The sequence below is a fragment of the Homo sapiens genome, chromosome 12, assembly GCF_000001405.40.
Source record: "Homo sapiens chromosome 12, GRCh38.p14 Primary Assembly".
NCBI lineage: Eukaryota > Metazoa > Chordata > Mammalia > Primates > Hominidae > Homo > Homo sapiens.
The window spans coordinates 29,472,297-29,488,511 of record NC_000012.12 but is presented as its reverse complement, the minus strand read 5'-3'; the positions used below and the strand labels follow the sequence as shown (position 1 = coordinate 29,488,511).

Here is a 16,215-nt window from a genome sequence, read left to right as displayed (position 1 = left end):
GAGTAGTTGGGATTATAGGCACCCACCACCATGCCCAGCTAATTTTTTTGTATTTTTAATAGAGACAGGGTTTCACCATGTTGGTCAGGCTGGTCTCGAACTCGTGACCTCAGGTGATACACCAGCCCCGCCTCCCAAAGTGCTGGGATTACAGGTGTGAACCATGTGCCCTGCCCAGGCTTTCTGTTTTTAAAGCTTTGAGGCCTTGAACTATCTTGAGGGGTCTATTCACTGATGCTCCATAGGTTTGGAAGATGACCTAGTCTTTCCTAGCAATTCCAGGTGACAAGCTATAGTAGAAACATCTATCTGTAACTACCTCCCTTCCAACGATTTTTAGAATGTACATGGTAGTTTAAAAAAAAAAGAGGAGGAAGAGAAATTGTTAACCTGACAAGATTGCAGCCAATAGGTATAAAGAGATTTTATCTTCATGAAAAGATTTTGCCTTGAAACTAATGATAAGGACACAAGAAAATGGATAAACAAAAAGCTGATGGACGATGACTAGTGGACTTCTTTGCCTCTACCTCTTTTCACTTTGTGATGAGTGCTGATGTTTACAGAAATGATGAAATATTTTACACTGTGGCTATTTTCAAATTTTCTCTTTTTTTGTACCATGAAAGGGGGACTCTGGAGGACCACTGGTTTGTAGAAGAGGTGGTGGAATCTGGATTCTTGCTGGGATAACTTCCTGGGTAGCTGGTTGTGCTGGAGGTTCAGTTCCCGTAAGAAACAACCATGTGAAGGCATCACTTGGCATTTTCTCCAAAGTGTCTGAGTTGATGGATTTTATCACTCAAAACCTGTTCACAGGTAGGTGAATTCTTTCTTCCTCATCTCATCCTAACTCAAGGGTAGTTACTCTGCTATGTTGCGATATTATCAGAACTAAGCTTTAGAACAAAGCAAGAATGAGGCTGGTTTTAAATTCTTAGTCCAGTGTAGATACTTGTCTCTGAAACCCTGAGTACAGAAATCTGTCAATATAACTTGAACAAACCAAATCCCTGTATAAAATTTTCATGAGATGCCTTTTTGCATTTACGAGATTTTATTAATAGACCTTGAGAATAGACTCATCAGGGGATTCTTTCTTCATTTTTTCAGTTGGCATGATTTTTCTCTGTACTACTTAAGAATACCAAAAATAAATCACTCATCTCCCACTTTGCCTGTTCAACCTTGTTAACTTCCTTGGCAACAGTGAAAAAATGAGGGAGGCCTTGGAGAGTTAATTTGGCTCTGTGACACTAAAATCTAGATTAGGAAAATGTGGGCCTGGAGATACCAAACCTGTCGTCTGCAGAATGAAAGAAGCCTGAGAGAACACAGCTTTCAGGAACAAGCAGTTGAATGCAGAAACCACACATTTTTTAAAATGACAAGACCCAGAGCCCCAGAACATAGTGCTCTCTCCATCCTCCATCGCTTTCTCATGGCAGTCCAAGGGCAGCCACCTGACAGGGCTTTTAGAAGTGGTGCTGTGGATCCTACCACAGGCCAGCACTTCCTCAGACTGCCACAGACTCTCCTTTGGTCTTAGATGTAAAAGGCCTCTTCACTGCTCCACTGCAGGGGAGCAGTTCTCTTCTGGTAGCAATTGTGTTCCATTTTGATCACCTGGAAGGGAAAGTTGACAAGGTTTAAAAGCCCTGAACAAATGTAAATGGTAACAATGAGATTTTACAAGAGCAATGAAATCAGACATTAATGGTTCATTTCAGTGAAATGAACACCAGAACATGATAAGTGATTTATTTAAATAATGCTTCCTTAGGATAATCTTCTAAGCTTCTCATCTTCTATTTGCCTATTTTTTCTAGTTCATCTTCCCCTATCTCTTTCCAGAACTGGCTATGCTTTGGAAATAGGGTTAAATTGAGTTTTCTTAACTCTTAAAAATCAGAGAATTGAATATTTCACATCTTATTTTTAAAACCACACTAACCAGCAAATCAAATCAATTCCTGCTTCCACGTAGTCCTTTAGCCTTTTTTAAAAGACATAGTGGGTTACTGACTCTGAGAAAAGATTCCCTCTGCATTGATTTTAGTAGAAGTTATAATTCTTCATATTCTTTTAACTTCACATTGTTAAAAATGTTTTATTTAAATGATTATTATTGGGAAAGGCACTAACTCCTTATACCTTTTACAGGTTTGGATCGGGGCCAACCCCTCTCAAAAGTGGGCTCAAGGTATATAACAAAGGCCCTGAGTTCTGTCCAAGAAGTGAATGGAAGCCAGAGAGGAAAGGGTATGTGTGGTTCTAATTAGAGAAGGAAGCTGACTTGAAGAAAGTCATCAGAGGAAAGCAAACAGGAGGATTGTACCATATTCACAATCTGAGTTTTATTTAAATTTTTGAATGTAAACTTTAAAAGCCCTGCTCATATTCATACATAGGCTCCAACATTTAAAACCTGACCCTGGCATCTAAAACTTTTGAGTGAATGAGGGAGACTTTCCATGCCATTGCTAAAAGCTGTATCCATTTATTTATTTATTTATTTATTTATTTATTTATTTATTTATTTTATTTTATTTTATTTTATTTATTTTGAGATGGAGTCTCACTCTGTCATCCAGGCTGGAGTGCGGTGGCAAGCAGTCTCTGCTCACTGCAACCTCTGCCTCCTGGGTTCAAGCGATTCTCCTGCCTTAGCCTCCCAAGTAGCTAGGACTACAGGCACCCCCCACCACACCCAGCTAATTTTTTTTTTCTTTTTGAGACAGAGTCTCATGCTGTGTCCCCCAGGCTGGAGTGCAGTGGCACAATCTCGGCTCACTGCAACCTCCGCCTTCCGGGTTAACGCCATTCTCCTGCCTCAGCCTCCCGAGTAGCTGGGTACAGGCAGGCACATGCCACCACGCCCGGCTAATTTTTTGCATTTTTAGTAGAGACGTGTTTTCACCGTGTTAGCCAGGATGGTCTCGATCTCCTGACCTCGTAATCCGCCCGCCTCGGCCTCCCAAAGTGCTGGTATTACAGGAGTGAGCCACTGTGCCCGGCAATTTTTGTATTTTTAGTAGAGACAGGATTTCACCATGTTGGCCAGGCTGGTCTCGAACTCCTGACCTCAGATGATCCACCCGCCTCGGCCTCCCAAAGTGCTGGTGCTGGGATTACAGGCGTGAACCACTGCACCCAGCTTATTTGACATCTTTTTTTTTTTTTTTTTTTTTTTTAAAGACTGGGTCTTGTTCTCCACCCAGGCTGGAGTGCAGTGGCATGCACTCTGCCTCCTGGGTTCAAGCAATTCTCCTGCCTCAGTCTCCTGAGTAGGACTACAGGCATGGACCACCACACCTGACTAATGTTGGCCAGGCTTGGTCTCAAACTCCCGACCTCAAGTGATGCAACCGCCTCAGCTTCTCAAATTGTACGTTAGCATCTTTATACAAAGGTATTTAACCTTACCCAAGACAGCCTAGAAAGAGATGGGAAAGTTGGATAAATGTTAAATCTGAAGAAGTGTTTTTAAAAGTTTTGATTTTGATTCAAATTATGGTGAATTCAGAAATGTTTTTAAAGTCTGTTTGCAAATACAATGTCTAAATCATAGCTTCTAAAAATATTTGCATTCCCATAAATATCGATGAAATGACTAATATAAATCGTACAGCTTCAGACTGGCCTCTGTATCATTTTGAAATGTTGTCTATGGGTGAGGCAAATGATCGGCTTTTTCCCATGTTTTTGAAGATTGTAAACCTCAGGGGACAGTGTTATTTGGAGAAAGTGGGAAGATTTGTTACCCCCATTCCAAAGGAGACTACTATTCTCATAATTGGTATGTATACTACATAGGAATGATTTCTGGGGCTTTTCCTCCCACAAAATGGGGCAGTTTAAAACACTCTACTTCAGCAATTTTTTTTTGAGACAAGGTCTCCCTACGTTGCCCAGGCTGGGCTCAAACTCCTGGGCTCAAGGGATCTTCCCACCCCAGCGTACTAAGTAGTAGGGATTACACGGGCATGCCACCACAACTTGGCTTATTTTGGCATTTTTATCTGGTATCTCCAGTTCTAATATAAAAGTATCTATTTTATCTGATATTTTTTGATTGGTGAATATTTACTCACTCATGTAAATCATCAACCTGAATAGTTATTAAACTAAAGTTTACTTGAACGGATGTGTTCAAATACTTAATACTAACAGCGTCTGGTAATGAGATTGCTGTGGGATTTAGTGATTAATTCTGTCACATTTATTTCTATGATCATGGTAATACTTTGCTTAGCATCACCTACAAGATGGAAAATAGTTCATGTCCTATAAGCTTCAGTCTCATTTTACGAATTTTCTACATACCCTGTCCTCTGAAATATATCTAAATGTAGCTAAAAATATCTTTAAGCTTTAGAAAATCTTTCTGCAAGTATCTCATTTTCTTAAGTGATCTAAATTCATTTTTAAAATCGTACTGAGACTTGAATAGTGTACTACAAAGATAACAGTTCTACAAGTTTATAATCTGGTAGAAAGAGCTAGACAAAAATAACTATACTACAAGAGGAAATAAGCTTTATAATCCATACCATCCAAGAAAGTGCACACTATAAAAGATAGAGACTAATTCTCTTTGGTGTGGTTTTTAAGGTATGTGTGGAGTGGTTAGAAGTGTGGGGAGAGATATAAATGTTATAGTGGAAAAGATGGCATTGAAATGAGGCGTTGAAGGATAGTTATGATTTTATAGCTCATGAGGTCTTTGGTAGCTCTAATACTGAAGATTTCAACAGATGGAGAGGCAGGAAGAGGTCATTCTATGCCAAGGGAATTAGATATAAGCAATGTCAAGGAGGTGGGGAAGATTGGGGTTTTTTGGGTTTTGAGTATCCCACTGTGACTGGACAACAATGTGAATGGGAACTGGGGTAGCAGTGGATGATGAGAATAGAAAGGATGATCGGGACTTAATTGCAGAGGACCTTGAGTTCCATGCAGAGAGATTAGACCTTATGCTACAACCAATGGGTATGCTAAAACTAAAATGATGGAAAGATTATAACTTTCAAAACTAATGTAAAATGAATATAAATATTTATTTCAAGTACAGATAGAAAAGATGTGGCTTAATTTCAGCTCATAATTTAAAACGCTTAATGGTCTAAACTGACTTTGTCTCAGGCAAACTTGTGATGATAGAATGCCAATAAAGCTTTTGCCACCTTTGCTTAAGCTGTTAGAAGGATATTTAGAACAAGAGTTTAAGAAACTCCTTTATTAGAGTCTCAGGGACCTCTAGGACCTCTAGGGTACAATGTTTAGACAGGGAGATTGATAAGCCAGAATTTGTCTGAAGGAAAATGACCAAGATGGGAAAAATTCAGAACAATGTTTTGAGAGGTATGGTTATAGGAACCATAATATTTTTTGATCCAAAGAAGACTGAAGAGGAGGAGGGAAGTGTCTTGATTTATCTTAGAGGCTACTAAAGAAACAGAGTTAGACTTGTTCTGAATAATTGCAGAGCTGAAAACTAAGACCACTGGGTAGAAGTTAGAAGGCAGAGTTCAATTCAATATTAAGTCATTTCTTGTTTGAATGATTTCTGAAATTAACTAGCCTGCTTCAGGAAGTAATCAATGCTCTTGATAAGTGGATATTTGAGCAAAGTATTTGTATATTGGGTAAGAGACATGCAGATGGCAGCCTACTTACCCTCAAACACAGTGACCCAACTTAGACAGTTAAGCATTTCAGAGATCTCTGCAAGAAAAAGTTTCAAGAGAAGAAGGGTTATTTTAGAAGTAAAAATCAGATCAAATGCCATCGCATATAGAAACTCAAACTTCTTGAACTGAGCAGAACTGTAGGATCAGAAGCCACATTCATAGTGGGTTAAGTGACTGTTGAAAATTTAGTATCCCAAATAATCAACAAATTTCTATTGAACCCTCAGGATGTGTAAGACACTGTCTTAGGTGCTAGAGATACAGCAGTGAATGAAACACACAAAAATGTTTGCCTTTGTGGGGCAAGTTAGAAGGTGGAAATGGGATAATTTTTAAAGATTACATATAATAGTAGAAGGTAGTAAATGCTATATCAAAAAATAAGGCAAGAAAGGGGGGTGGAGAATGAAAGTATACAATATCAGAGAGGGTGGTTAGGGAAGACCACGTTATAAAGATGATACTTGAAAAAAAGGACTTGGATAAAGCAAGGGAGGGAATTATATGATCATTTTGGAAAGGAACATTAAGGCAGAAGGAATGGTATGTGTGAGACAAGAATACACTTGGTATATTTGGGGAATAGCAAATTGACCAGAGAGCCAGAGTTGAGTGGCTGGAGAGGGGCAATGTGGCCAAATTCTTTAGGACTTGCGGGGCATGAAAAGAACTTTGGATTTTACCGTAAAGGAGCTAGAGAGCCATTGGAGGATTTTGAATGAGGAAGATCATGATCTGACACATTTTTAAAAGATCACTTTTATTACTGGGTTGCAGATAGACTGTAGGCAGGCAAGACCACAAGCTGGGAGACCAACTACTGCAATAGTCCAGGTAAAAGATGATGCAGTCATCCAGGTAAAAGTCTAGCTTTGACCACATTTGTAGAGGTGGTGAAGAGTGGTAGGGCCGTAGGATTTGCTGATGAGTTGACAGTTTGGGTTTTGAGGGAGAATGAGATCCCCATATGAGTAACCTAACAGTTTTTAACCTGAGCTATTGGAAGAATAGAACTGTTGTCTGAGATGGAAACATTGGGGTGGTGGCTTTTAGACAGTAGGGTCAAGAGAGGCACTTTGTTTTGATAAAGTAGACTCAACTGTGCTTATGGACAGAGAGAGAGTGAGAGTCAACAGTCATAGGAAACACATAGAAATGTGAAGTAAGCTTTCTGAGAACACAACAAATAAAGAAGGTTTGGCATTGAAAAGAGGGCAGAATAATTCCTTTTCTGGGAAAGCAACAAAGAAGGTAATCTGTAGGAAAGTTGAAGGAATTTACACTGGATGTCTTAGTTATCACATGAGATTTTAATTGCTTCAACTTTAGTAGATGAAGTAGAGATAAAATAGTTAAGATATAAATAGTTTATAGGGACTAAAGTAAGGAGTCAACCAGAGATTAATAAGACTTTCAGTAGCAGTAAAACCCAATGAGTATTAGCATCTATTTGTACTATATTTCAATAAATCAAGACAAAAAAATTCATTGTAAAATACTGCTTCAATAGGAGAAAACAAAATTCCTAAGATAGGTTCATATAAGGCTGAGTCACCAAACACTGTCTTTAGCGTAAGGCTAAACAAAGTGTAAACCCACCCACATGGAAAGTTACATGCCTCAACCTTGGCAGTAGATGTAGGGAGAGGTAAAAAATTATTTGAGAATTTGAACTACAGGTTAATACTCGTGCAGATCTACCATCTAAATTCACACCTCAAGTATAGGCCAAAACATGTCAAGCAGAAAATTCGGCACTGTGAAGTTGACAGTGAGCAACATGACTGACAGAAGTGTATACAGATTCTGCCAGGAAGAACTCTTTCAATTCAGGTCTACAGAAATCGTAAGATTCCTTTGTAAGATGCATTCTAATTTTAGAATGTGCAAATGTGAAAAAATTGTGCTTTAGAAACGAGTATAGGGCCAATTTGCACAGTCAGTGACTTCTTCAGCATGCTGAGTAGCCTTAGATAGTGAAAGGGTTTTGTGAATTCCAACTGGAGCTAACTAGGAAATCATAAGGGAGACAGAGATAATATAAAGAAGGAGGAGAGAGTTACACAGTCCCTCCAAGCCTCTCTGTATTCTGGTAGGTGGTAGCTGGATTCTCAGAAATGACAGATACCACCCAGGTTGCCCTCCTTCCTTTCATATCCATGAGAGACATTGCATTTCTCAGAGCCTAGATCAGTGCCTGGCACATAATAAATGCTCCATAGATTATTTGAATTAATAGATCAATGGTTAGTTTGGGGACCCCTCTCTCACTTAGCTTGACCAGACTTCAAAATCCTCTTAAAACAGCAATCACTAATAATAAATCAAAGTTGGCATAGATTTGAAACCTATTTTTCATCTTTCAGCTAGAGATTTTGAGGACGAAAATAATTAGATGATGGAACAATTTGAGAAAGTACTGGCCTTTGAAGTCATAAAGCCTAAACTACAGTTCCACTTATACAAGAGATGTGATGAATCTTTTGTTATCAATGCCAATTTTCCCATTTGGAAATGGGTAATTTCTCTCCTGCCTACCTCAGAGAGATGTAATTAATCTCAAAAAGGATGATGGATGTGGAGTGCTTTTTTCCATTGAAGTGCTTAGCAAGTGAACTTTATAATATTTTAGACAGCTTATATTTACATCTATATTCAGGATGATGGACTTGAATAGAAAAACACTAAAGAGTTTCCGGCTGGGCATGGTGGCTCACACCTGTAATCCCAGCACTTTGGGAAGCTGAGGTGGGCAGGTCATGAGGTCAGGAGTTCAAGACCAGCCTGGCCAATATGGTGAAACCCTGTCTCTACTAAAAATACATAAGTTAGCTGGGCATGGTGGTGCATGCCTGCAGTCCCAGCTACTTGGGAGGCTGAGGCAGAAGAATCGCTTGAACCTGGGAGGTGTAGGTTGCAGTGAGCTGAGATTGCGCCACTGCACTCCAGCCTGGGTGACAGAGTGAGACTCAGTCTCAAAAAAAAAAAAAAAAAGAAAAAAAAGAGTTGCCAATTAAGATGTCCGGTTAAAAAAAAAATTATTAGTGTTTGCTTTTTGGAAACTGGGCATAAAATACTTGACTAATTCCGAAAGTCCTTAATATTTGTAAAGGGTAGTGAGGCTGTTAATAGGTCTAAGGTAAAGACTGCTGAATTTTGGAAAGAGTTAATTCCAACATGTTAGATTCTAGGTAAGATTGCTTTGCATTCAGGTGAAGGTGAGACATGGAAGAAGCTAGGATTTATGGCCCACTAGGATTTATTTTCTTGAATAATAAATTTATGTATGAAAATGAAGGTAAGGGATTATGTGTCAAATTACATAAGACTACTATCTCAAGTTGAGATATGCTTTTAAAAATGTTAGCAAAAAGTCACAGCTGACCTTACTGGGAGTTAGAGAGATGACATTTTAACCCAGAGACTGTGACTTAGGATGACCTTGGAATATGTGGCTGTTTAAGGTTAGCATACGCTGTATGGTCCATTCATAATTCATGAGAACCATAATTCAACCTCTGGGTGAATAGTATGAATTTTAATTAGGTGAATAACTCACATGAATCTTAGGTTTCTTCAATTTATACATCAAAATTCTAGCATTTTATAACTAAATGAAATTTAAGGGGTGGTTTCTGGTCATTCTCCAATTAATACTCATCTATTTGTCAGATAAATGTTATTAATTTGAGCACGAATTTTTCTCACAATGTTCTATTGCCTTTTATCTTCTCGTATTCTATAAAATTGTATGGTTGTTGAGTTGTGAGCTAAAGCACAGGTATTAGATTTTATTTAGCAAATCTGACTCTTCCATTTATTACATTTTCTTCACCTTCCCCTACCCCAGCTTATATGTTTGGAAAATAATGGTACCAGAAGATAAAATAATCCTGATAAAATTTACAAGTTTAGACATGGAAAAGCAAGTTGGATGTGATCATGACTATGTATCTTTACGATCAAGCAGTGGAGTGCTTTTTAGTAAGTATGTTACATTTGTTTTTATTTGTCATTTTAGAGTATCTGAAAGACCAAAGAGATGCTAAAGGATCTAAAATAAAATTTCTGGCTGCTCTGCCTATGGAGTAGCCATTATTTATTCCTTTACTTTCCTAATAAACTTGCTTTCACTTTACTCAAAAAAACAAAAATAAAAAAATAAAATTTCTTTTATTCTACCAAGGGCAATGATCTTATCTTACAGACTTTTCCCTTCTAGAAGGGTTAAGGGGAGGGAGTAAGAGTGGAGACAGTGATCAACACACTGACCATTCTTTTCAGTGTTTTTCTAAGTTAGGAACCAGATCCCACATTCCTTTCTCAAGTTCACTAACAGTATTGAATGCAATTGATGTCACAGTTGTCAGAAAACTTCCTTTTGAGGCAGTTTTTTTTATTATTTTTATCACAAAAGTGGGTACATGTTTACCAAATTTGGTAAATACAGATGAGCCAAAGGAAGAAAGTAGAAACCATTCATAACCCTGTCACCTAGAGATAATCTCTACCAGCACTTACAGGTGTATCTATTTACACATACACTTTGAACTTTACATTGTTTGATGTAATTTCCTTCTCATAACACAATTGATCATTTCATGTCATTCAATTTATTTTATTGAATACCTCTTATAAGCTACATAAACATAACCAATATATCTAATTTTGTTGAAATACTCTGTGTTAACCATGATAGAAGCTCTCCACAGCTGGTATAGACCTGGATCTCTAGTTCTCTATAAGGCCAATGGTTAGGACAAATGTCTCTTCACACATATTTGACAGGAAGTTATAGACAAAGTATTGTACTAGGGGTTATAATATTTATTGTCTAAATTATTTCATGCTCAGGCCTGCTATTTACACAGTAATTATTCTTTCAACCAATCATTTGTTAAAAATTAACTGTATATATCATAGCAGGTACTGGACGTTTTTTGAGAAAAAGCACTCTGCCCAAATAAATTTGTAGTTTGAGGTAATCAAAGGTGTAAAACAAAGTAGGAAATGCCATTAGAACAGGGAAGTGCTGCGCTGATTCAAAAAAGGTAGCTCTTATTTCCAGTGGTTGTCTGGTAGAGTTTATCAGAGAGCTGAATTTTGAGTTAGGCCCTGAAGAATAAGTAGAATTTGGACATGTGAGACTGGGGGGTTGAGAAGGAGACTGGAATAGCAAAGTCACTGAAGCAGGGAATGTTGAATGATCAAAGGACCATTAAATAGTTTAGTGTGTTTAGATCAGAGATCTCTCATGGAAGACGATGGAAAACAAAACAAACGTGTAAGTTTCCACCACTTTTTAGTAATGTTATTTCACTTTCCTTCTCTTCTTTTAAGGTAAGGTCTGTGGAAAAATATTGCCTTCACCATTGCTGGCAGAGACCAGTGAGGCCATGGTTCCATTTGTTTCTGATACAGAAGACAGTGGCAGTGGCTTTGAGCTTACCGTTACTGCTGTACAGAAGTCAGAAGCAGGTGAGTGTTTCAGGTATTTAATTCCTTGCCATTTTCCCTTGATGTGGGTGGGGAAGAGGAGAAAATGTCTTTGGCCATTCACTTTGAATTTCCCCAATGCTTCCACAGGGTCAGGTTGTGGGAGTCTGGCTATATTGGTAGAAGAAGGGACAAATCACTCTGCCAAGTATCCTGATTTGTATCCCAGTAACACAAGGTGTCATTGGTTCATTTGTGCTCCAGAGAAGCACATTATAAAGGTAGGCAACTGAGGAATCGCTCTACCTCATAAAGAATAGAGTTACGTTAGTTAGGCAGAACTTAATTCATCTGGATTGTTAAATTGCCATTATGACTAGGAGCTTCTTTTAGCCATTTGCCATTTTTTTTTACTCTGAAAAGAAATCTCTGTGAGTGGTTTTGAAAACTTTCAGTGGTTTAAAAGTGTATCCAATGAAAAGTAAGGCTCCTCATCAGATTCCCATTCTACCCCTGGAGGCAAACACTGATAACTTACTAGTGTCCTTGGGAGGTATTTTGAGCATTTACTAACCTGTGTGTGTGTGTGTGTGTGTGTGTGTGTGTGTGTGTGTGTGTGTGTGTGTGCGCGCGTGTGTACTTATGCTGCTTGGCAATGCCTTGGTCACTGAAAAATATCTCAAAGATCTTTCCAGATGAGCCCACAGAGCTCTTCTTAATAACTGCATAAAATATTGTATGATATTTCAGAACACATTAAACCAGTTCCCTATTAGCAGGTGTTTACTGAGCTTCCAGTCTTTGGTCATGCCAGCCATGGTGCCATGAATATCTGCCAGTGCCTTTGGATACATGTGGATATGTATAATTCCCAGAATTAGATTCGCTGGGTCAAAGGGTTTGCACATTTAAACCTGGTAGTCGTTGCCAAATTGCCCTTCAAAGAGACTGCAATTATTTACACTTCTATGTGAAGGCATATGAGGATGTGACAAAGAGCCTTTAAATACACAGAGGAAAACCCTTTAAGCTTCTCTCTTCTCTTCTTTGACCATTTCCCTGGTTATGTTTCCATTTGCACAGTTGACATTTGAGGACTTTGCTGTCAAATTTAGTCCAAACTGTATTTATGATGCTGTTGTGATTTACGGTGATTCTGAAGAAAAGCACAAGTTAGGTAGGTAGACTTCACCCTTTAAATATGAAAGTGTTAGACGAATCAGAGTAGTGGCAACATGGGCTGGCTTCCTTGGGTACCAGAACGTAGAGTGGGAATGTGAATTTCTTGCTTTGGAAACTCAGAATGCCATACAACTTTAGCTTTAAAACCTATGAGCCAGCAACTAATTCGCCAGTAAAGTTTTTAATGGAAATGTGCAAAATGTAAAGATTGTTTCAGACTGCATGTAAGGTGAAAAGGCAGTCGCCAGAGAAACTGCAATTATTTAAGGTAAATTTTACAGCTTCCTGCTTTCTGTATTAATTCCTTCTGTTGCTGATATTTTGGTATTTGTGTCCAGGAAAAGTAACCAAAAGCTATAATTTCTACGTGGGTCTGACAATTAATTTTAAGACTTTTAAAACTTCAAATATACTTTTAATCGTGACCTAACAATTTACTGAGTTTGAAGATTTAACTTCCAGCCCTCTAACCACTTTTTCAGGACCTAGTATCTGTCCCTCAGCTGGATGTTTTTGTGGGTTAGAGGCTAGGATTATAGATTGGTTTGGAATATTTATTTAGACATTAAGGGCAGGTTAGTGAGAGCACAATGCCATAATTCTGCATAACAGTGCATGTATAGTGTGAGGTTTTCATGAAAGTGACTTCGAGTGTTACCTCTCTTATAAAGTATGCTTATGTCCTCTTTGGAAGAAGGAATACACCAACTTGGGTGTTTTTTTTTTTAAACCTACCTCTTCTTATTGTCTACAAAGTAATAACCAGTTGAGTTTCCGGGCGTACTGGAAATCAAATGTCCTTATTTTAGAGCTTTTTCTGTGCAATTAAAATTACAGCGCATTGTTATTGTGAAACTAACATTTAATTCTCACATGAGATGTAAGGGTGCATACAAATCAAAGTTGGAGAAAACTAAAGTAGTTGATTAGAAAATTGGGTGATTATTTTACTGTGTGTTCTGATTTTTTAAAAATATAACTATAAATCAAACTTTCCTAAAATTTTTTCAGCTAAACTTTGTGGAATGTTGACCATCACTTCAATATTCAGTTCTAGTAACATGACGGTGATATACTTTAAAAGTGATGGTAAAAATCGTTTACAAGGCTTCAAGGCCAGATTTACCATTTTGCCCTCAGGTGAGTATAAACATTTGTGTAATAAGGACTTTTGTTTATGCAAATGGTTACAGGGAAGATAATTTAGCCATGTTTACCTCAATGTAGTATAGCAATCCCCTTGGTAAGCATAACAAAAATGCAGATTTCTGGATCCACCCCTAGAAACCTAGATTCTGTAGATCTGGGATGGGGCCCAGGAATCTGTGCTTTAGGAAGCACCTCAGTTAATGCTCAAGAAATGGCATCCACTGGAACATAAAGATTCCACACGCCACATACAGAAACAATAGAATTAGGATTAAAGAAGGTAATTCAGAAATGAGATTGACTGACTCTATTTTACCAAGTTAGGGGGCTTTGAAGAATTAATAGGTATCCTGGCACTCTGGAAGATAAAGTACGTGCTACTCAGACAAAAAGAATATCATATGCAGAAACCCTCACAAAAGAGAATGGACAACGTATAAGAAAACTACAAATAACTCTACATGTTTTGAGTTTTGGAGGGAATAATAGAAAAGGCAGGAGTGAGATCATGTTGAACATGAGGCATTAAATTATAAGTGCCAGAGTGATAGGATAGCTAGCTAACTTTTGATTACTTGCCCTGTAGCAGGTATTCACTAAGCATTTCACATGCATTATCTCATTTATTCCTCCTTACATACATAGGAGTTATGTGCATTGCTCTCCTCTCACCAGTGAGGGAAGTGAGGCTTTGAGAAGTTAAGTAACGTTCCCAAAGATACACAGCTGGCAAGAGGTGGAGTCAGAACTTGGCCTCTCTGACTCCAGAGTAACCTGGAAGATTATGAATGAACTTACATGCAAGAAAAGTACTGAGAAAATCATTGTAAAGAATTTATTCTATACGTATTGTTTTATTATATATATAGTAGGGATGGAATATATGAAGGAAGACAAGTCCAGTGTTGTATTAGTCAGGGTTCTCTTAGAGGGACAGATATATATATGTGTGTGTGTGTGTGTGTGTGTGTGTGTGTATGTGTGTGTGTGTTTATTAAGTATTAACTTACATGATCACAAGGTCCCACAGTAGGCTGTCTGCAAGCTGAGGAGCAAGGAAAGCCAGTCCGAGTCCCAAAACTGAAGAACTTGGAGTCCAGTGTTCTAGGGCAGGAAGCATCCAGCATGGAAGAAAGATGTAGGCTGGGAGGCTAGGCCCATCTCTGTTTACATGTTTTTCTGCCTGCTTTATGTTAGCTGGAAGCTGATTAGATTGTGCCCACCAGATTAAGGGTGGATCTGCCTTCCCCAGCCCACTAACTCAAATGTTAAATTCTTTTGGCAACACCCACACAGACACACCCAGGATTAATACTTTGTGTCCCTCAATCCAATCAAGTTGACACTCAGTATTAACCATCACAAATATGATTTTCAAGATCCTAGCTTGAATGGCGAGGTGAGTGGTAGAAGCCACTAGATGATAGAGAAATGTAAGAACAAGACTGTATTGACTCTTAAAATCATTTGGTTCAATTTAAGACATGTAGATATTAGCTTGTGGGAAATCCAAGTGGGGATATCTAAAAGTCTTAGGTCTAGGATTCAGGAAAGAGATTTAGATTGAAGAGAGAAATTTGGAAGTCATCTACATGTAGATGAATAAAAATAGAGTAATGAACATTACCTTGGCAATATCTTTTCAGGCTAAACAATGAGATCCTGAAAAAAAGACTGATATTGAAAACAGCCATCAATGTATAAGGAAAACCATGAGATTAATATCAAGAAACCAAGGAAGGAAGAAGTGCTTAAAAGAGCCAGATGGAACAGGGATATTAACGGATATACAAGAAATCACATTTCTGGGATCTGGCATCTAGTGTATGAATGGTAGTGTTAGTGAGATCTACAGTAGAGTAGTTTTATGATTTACCAGGGTAAGCAAGTGGGGTCAGTTAGTGCAACTTCTCTAATTACTTTCAATTAATTTTTTTTTCTTCTACAGAGTCTTTAAACAAATTTGAACCAAAGTTACCTCCCCAAAACAATCCTGTATCTACCGTAAAAGCTATTCTGCATGGTGAGTTGGTGACATGTTATTACTATCTGTTTAATCTTGTTTCTTCATTAACTAGATGTCTCTTTTGGAAGCCCTTATCTTACATTGGCTATAACTCCACAGTGAAGAAGAATGAGTCTTATATTTAGGTCCATAAAACGTCCAGAGTCATATTTGGATTTATAGTTAGACTCATAAATAGAGGGAAGAACAAATGAGCTTTAGGTTAGGAAGAAAAGGGTATAAAGCAATGTTTTGTCCTCATTCATTCCTCTACAAACTTAATATTTAAAATGACTTCTATAGTCAGTGTGGGGCAAAGAGAGAAAACAAAGGTTTTTTATTTTAAATTCACACTGGCATCTTTTAATTTCCTTATGCTCTAAGGCATCTGGGTAAATACTATGATCCCTCATTGTTCCACATACATGTATTGAATATGTTCAAGTTGATGGACTGGAATAGAAAGTTGCACAAGGAGCTATTAGAGAAGAAAATATCTGCCTGTTGCTGGAGGGTTGGAGAAGGCTTCCTAGAGATTAGTGCTTGGGCTATGGGTCTCATCAATTCCTGATAAGAGAACAGCATTTAGATGCCTGAGCAAATTTGATATGTTTGAGGATTGATACATGGATTCATACAGTGAGAACAAGAACTAAAACAAGAAGATATAATGAAGAACCTTATGTACTCTGCTAACAAACTTGAAATTTTCCTACTAGAATGTAAGTTCCATGGGGGCCAGTATTTTTA

General features: G+C 38.0%; 1 protein-coding gene and 1 long non-coding RNA gene across 14 annotated transcripts in view; one reads left to right on the top strand and one right to left on the bottom strand.

The window, feature by feature from the left end:
- The window catches only part of OVCH1 (ovochymase 1), a 95,519-nt gene that overhangs the window by 9,175 nt on the left and 70,129 nt on the right, over positions 1–16,215 (top strand). For 10 of the 13 annotated variants that reach the window (XM_024448968.2, XM_011520638.3, NM_001353179.2 and 7 more), the window contains exons 7-15: positions 630–819; positions 2,164–2,262; positions 3,712–3,799; positions 9,544–9,677; positions 11,034–11,171; positions 11,280–11,410; positions 12,213–12,306; positions 13,323–13,451; positions 15,409–15,483. In XM_024448968.2, coding sequence (XP_024304736.1) covers positions 630–819; positions 2,164–2,262; positions 3,712–3,799; positions 9,544–9,677; positions 11,034–11,171; positions 11,280–11,410; positions 12,213–12,306; positions 13,323–13,451; positions 15,409–15,483 — 1,078 coding nt within the window. Of the gene's footprint in view, positions 1–629; positions 820–2,163; positions 2,263–3,711; positions 3,800–9,543; positions 9,678–11,033; positions 11,172–11,279; positions 11,411–12,212; positions 12,307–13,322; positions 13,452–15,106; positions 15,292–15,408; positions 15,484–16,215 lie in introns of those variants that run through there. The other 3 variants (XM_047428781.1, XM_024448969.2, XM_047428780.1) reach the window with 3 other exon arrangements.
- Positions 1,188–16,215, bottom strand: part of OVCH1-AS1 (OVCH1 antisense RNA 1) — a 98,031-nt gene continuing 83,003 nt past the window's right edge. The window contains exon 2 of the long non-coding RNA NR_073172.1: positions 1,188–1,626. This is a non-coding gene — a long non-coding RNA (OVCH1 antisense RNA 1). The remainder of the gene's footprint in view (positions 1,627–16,215) is intronic.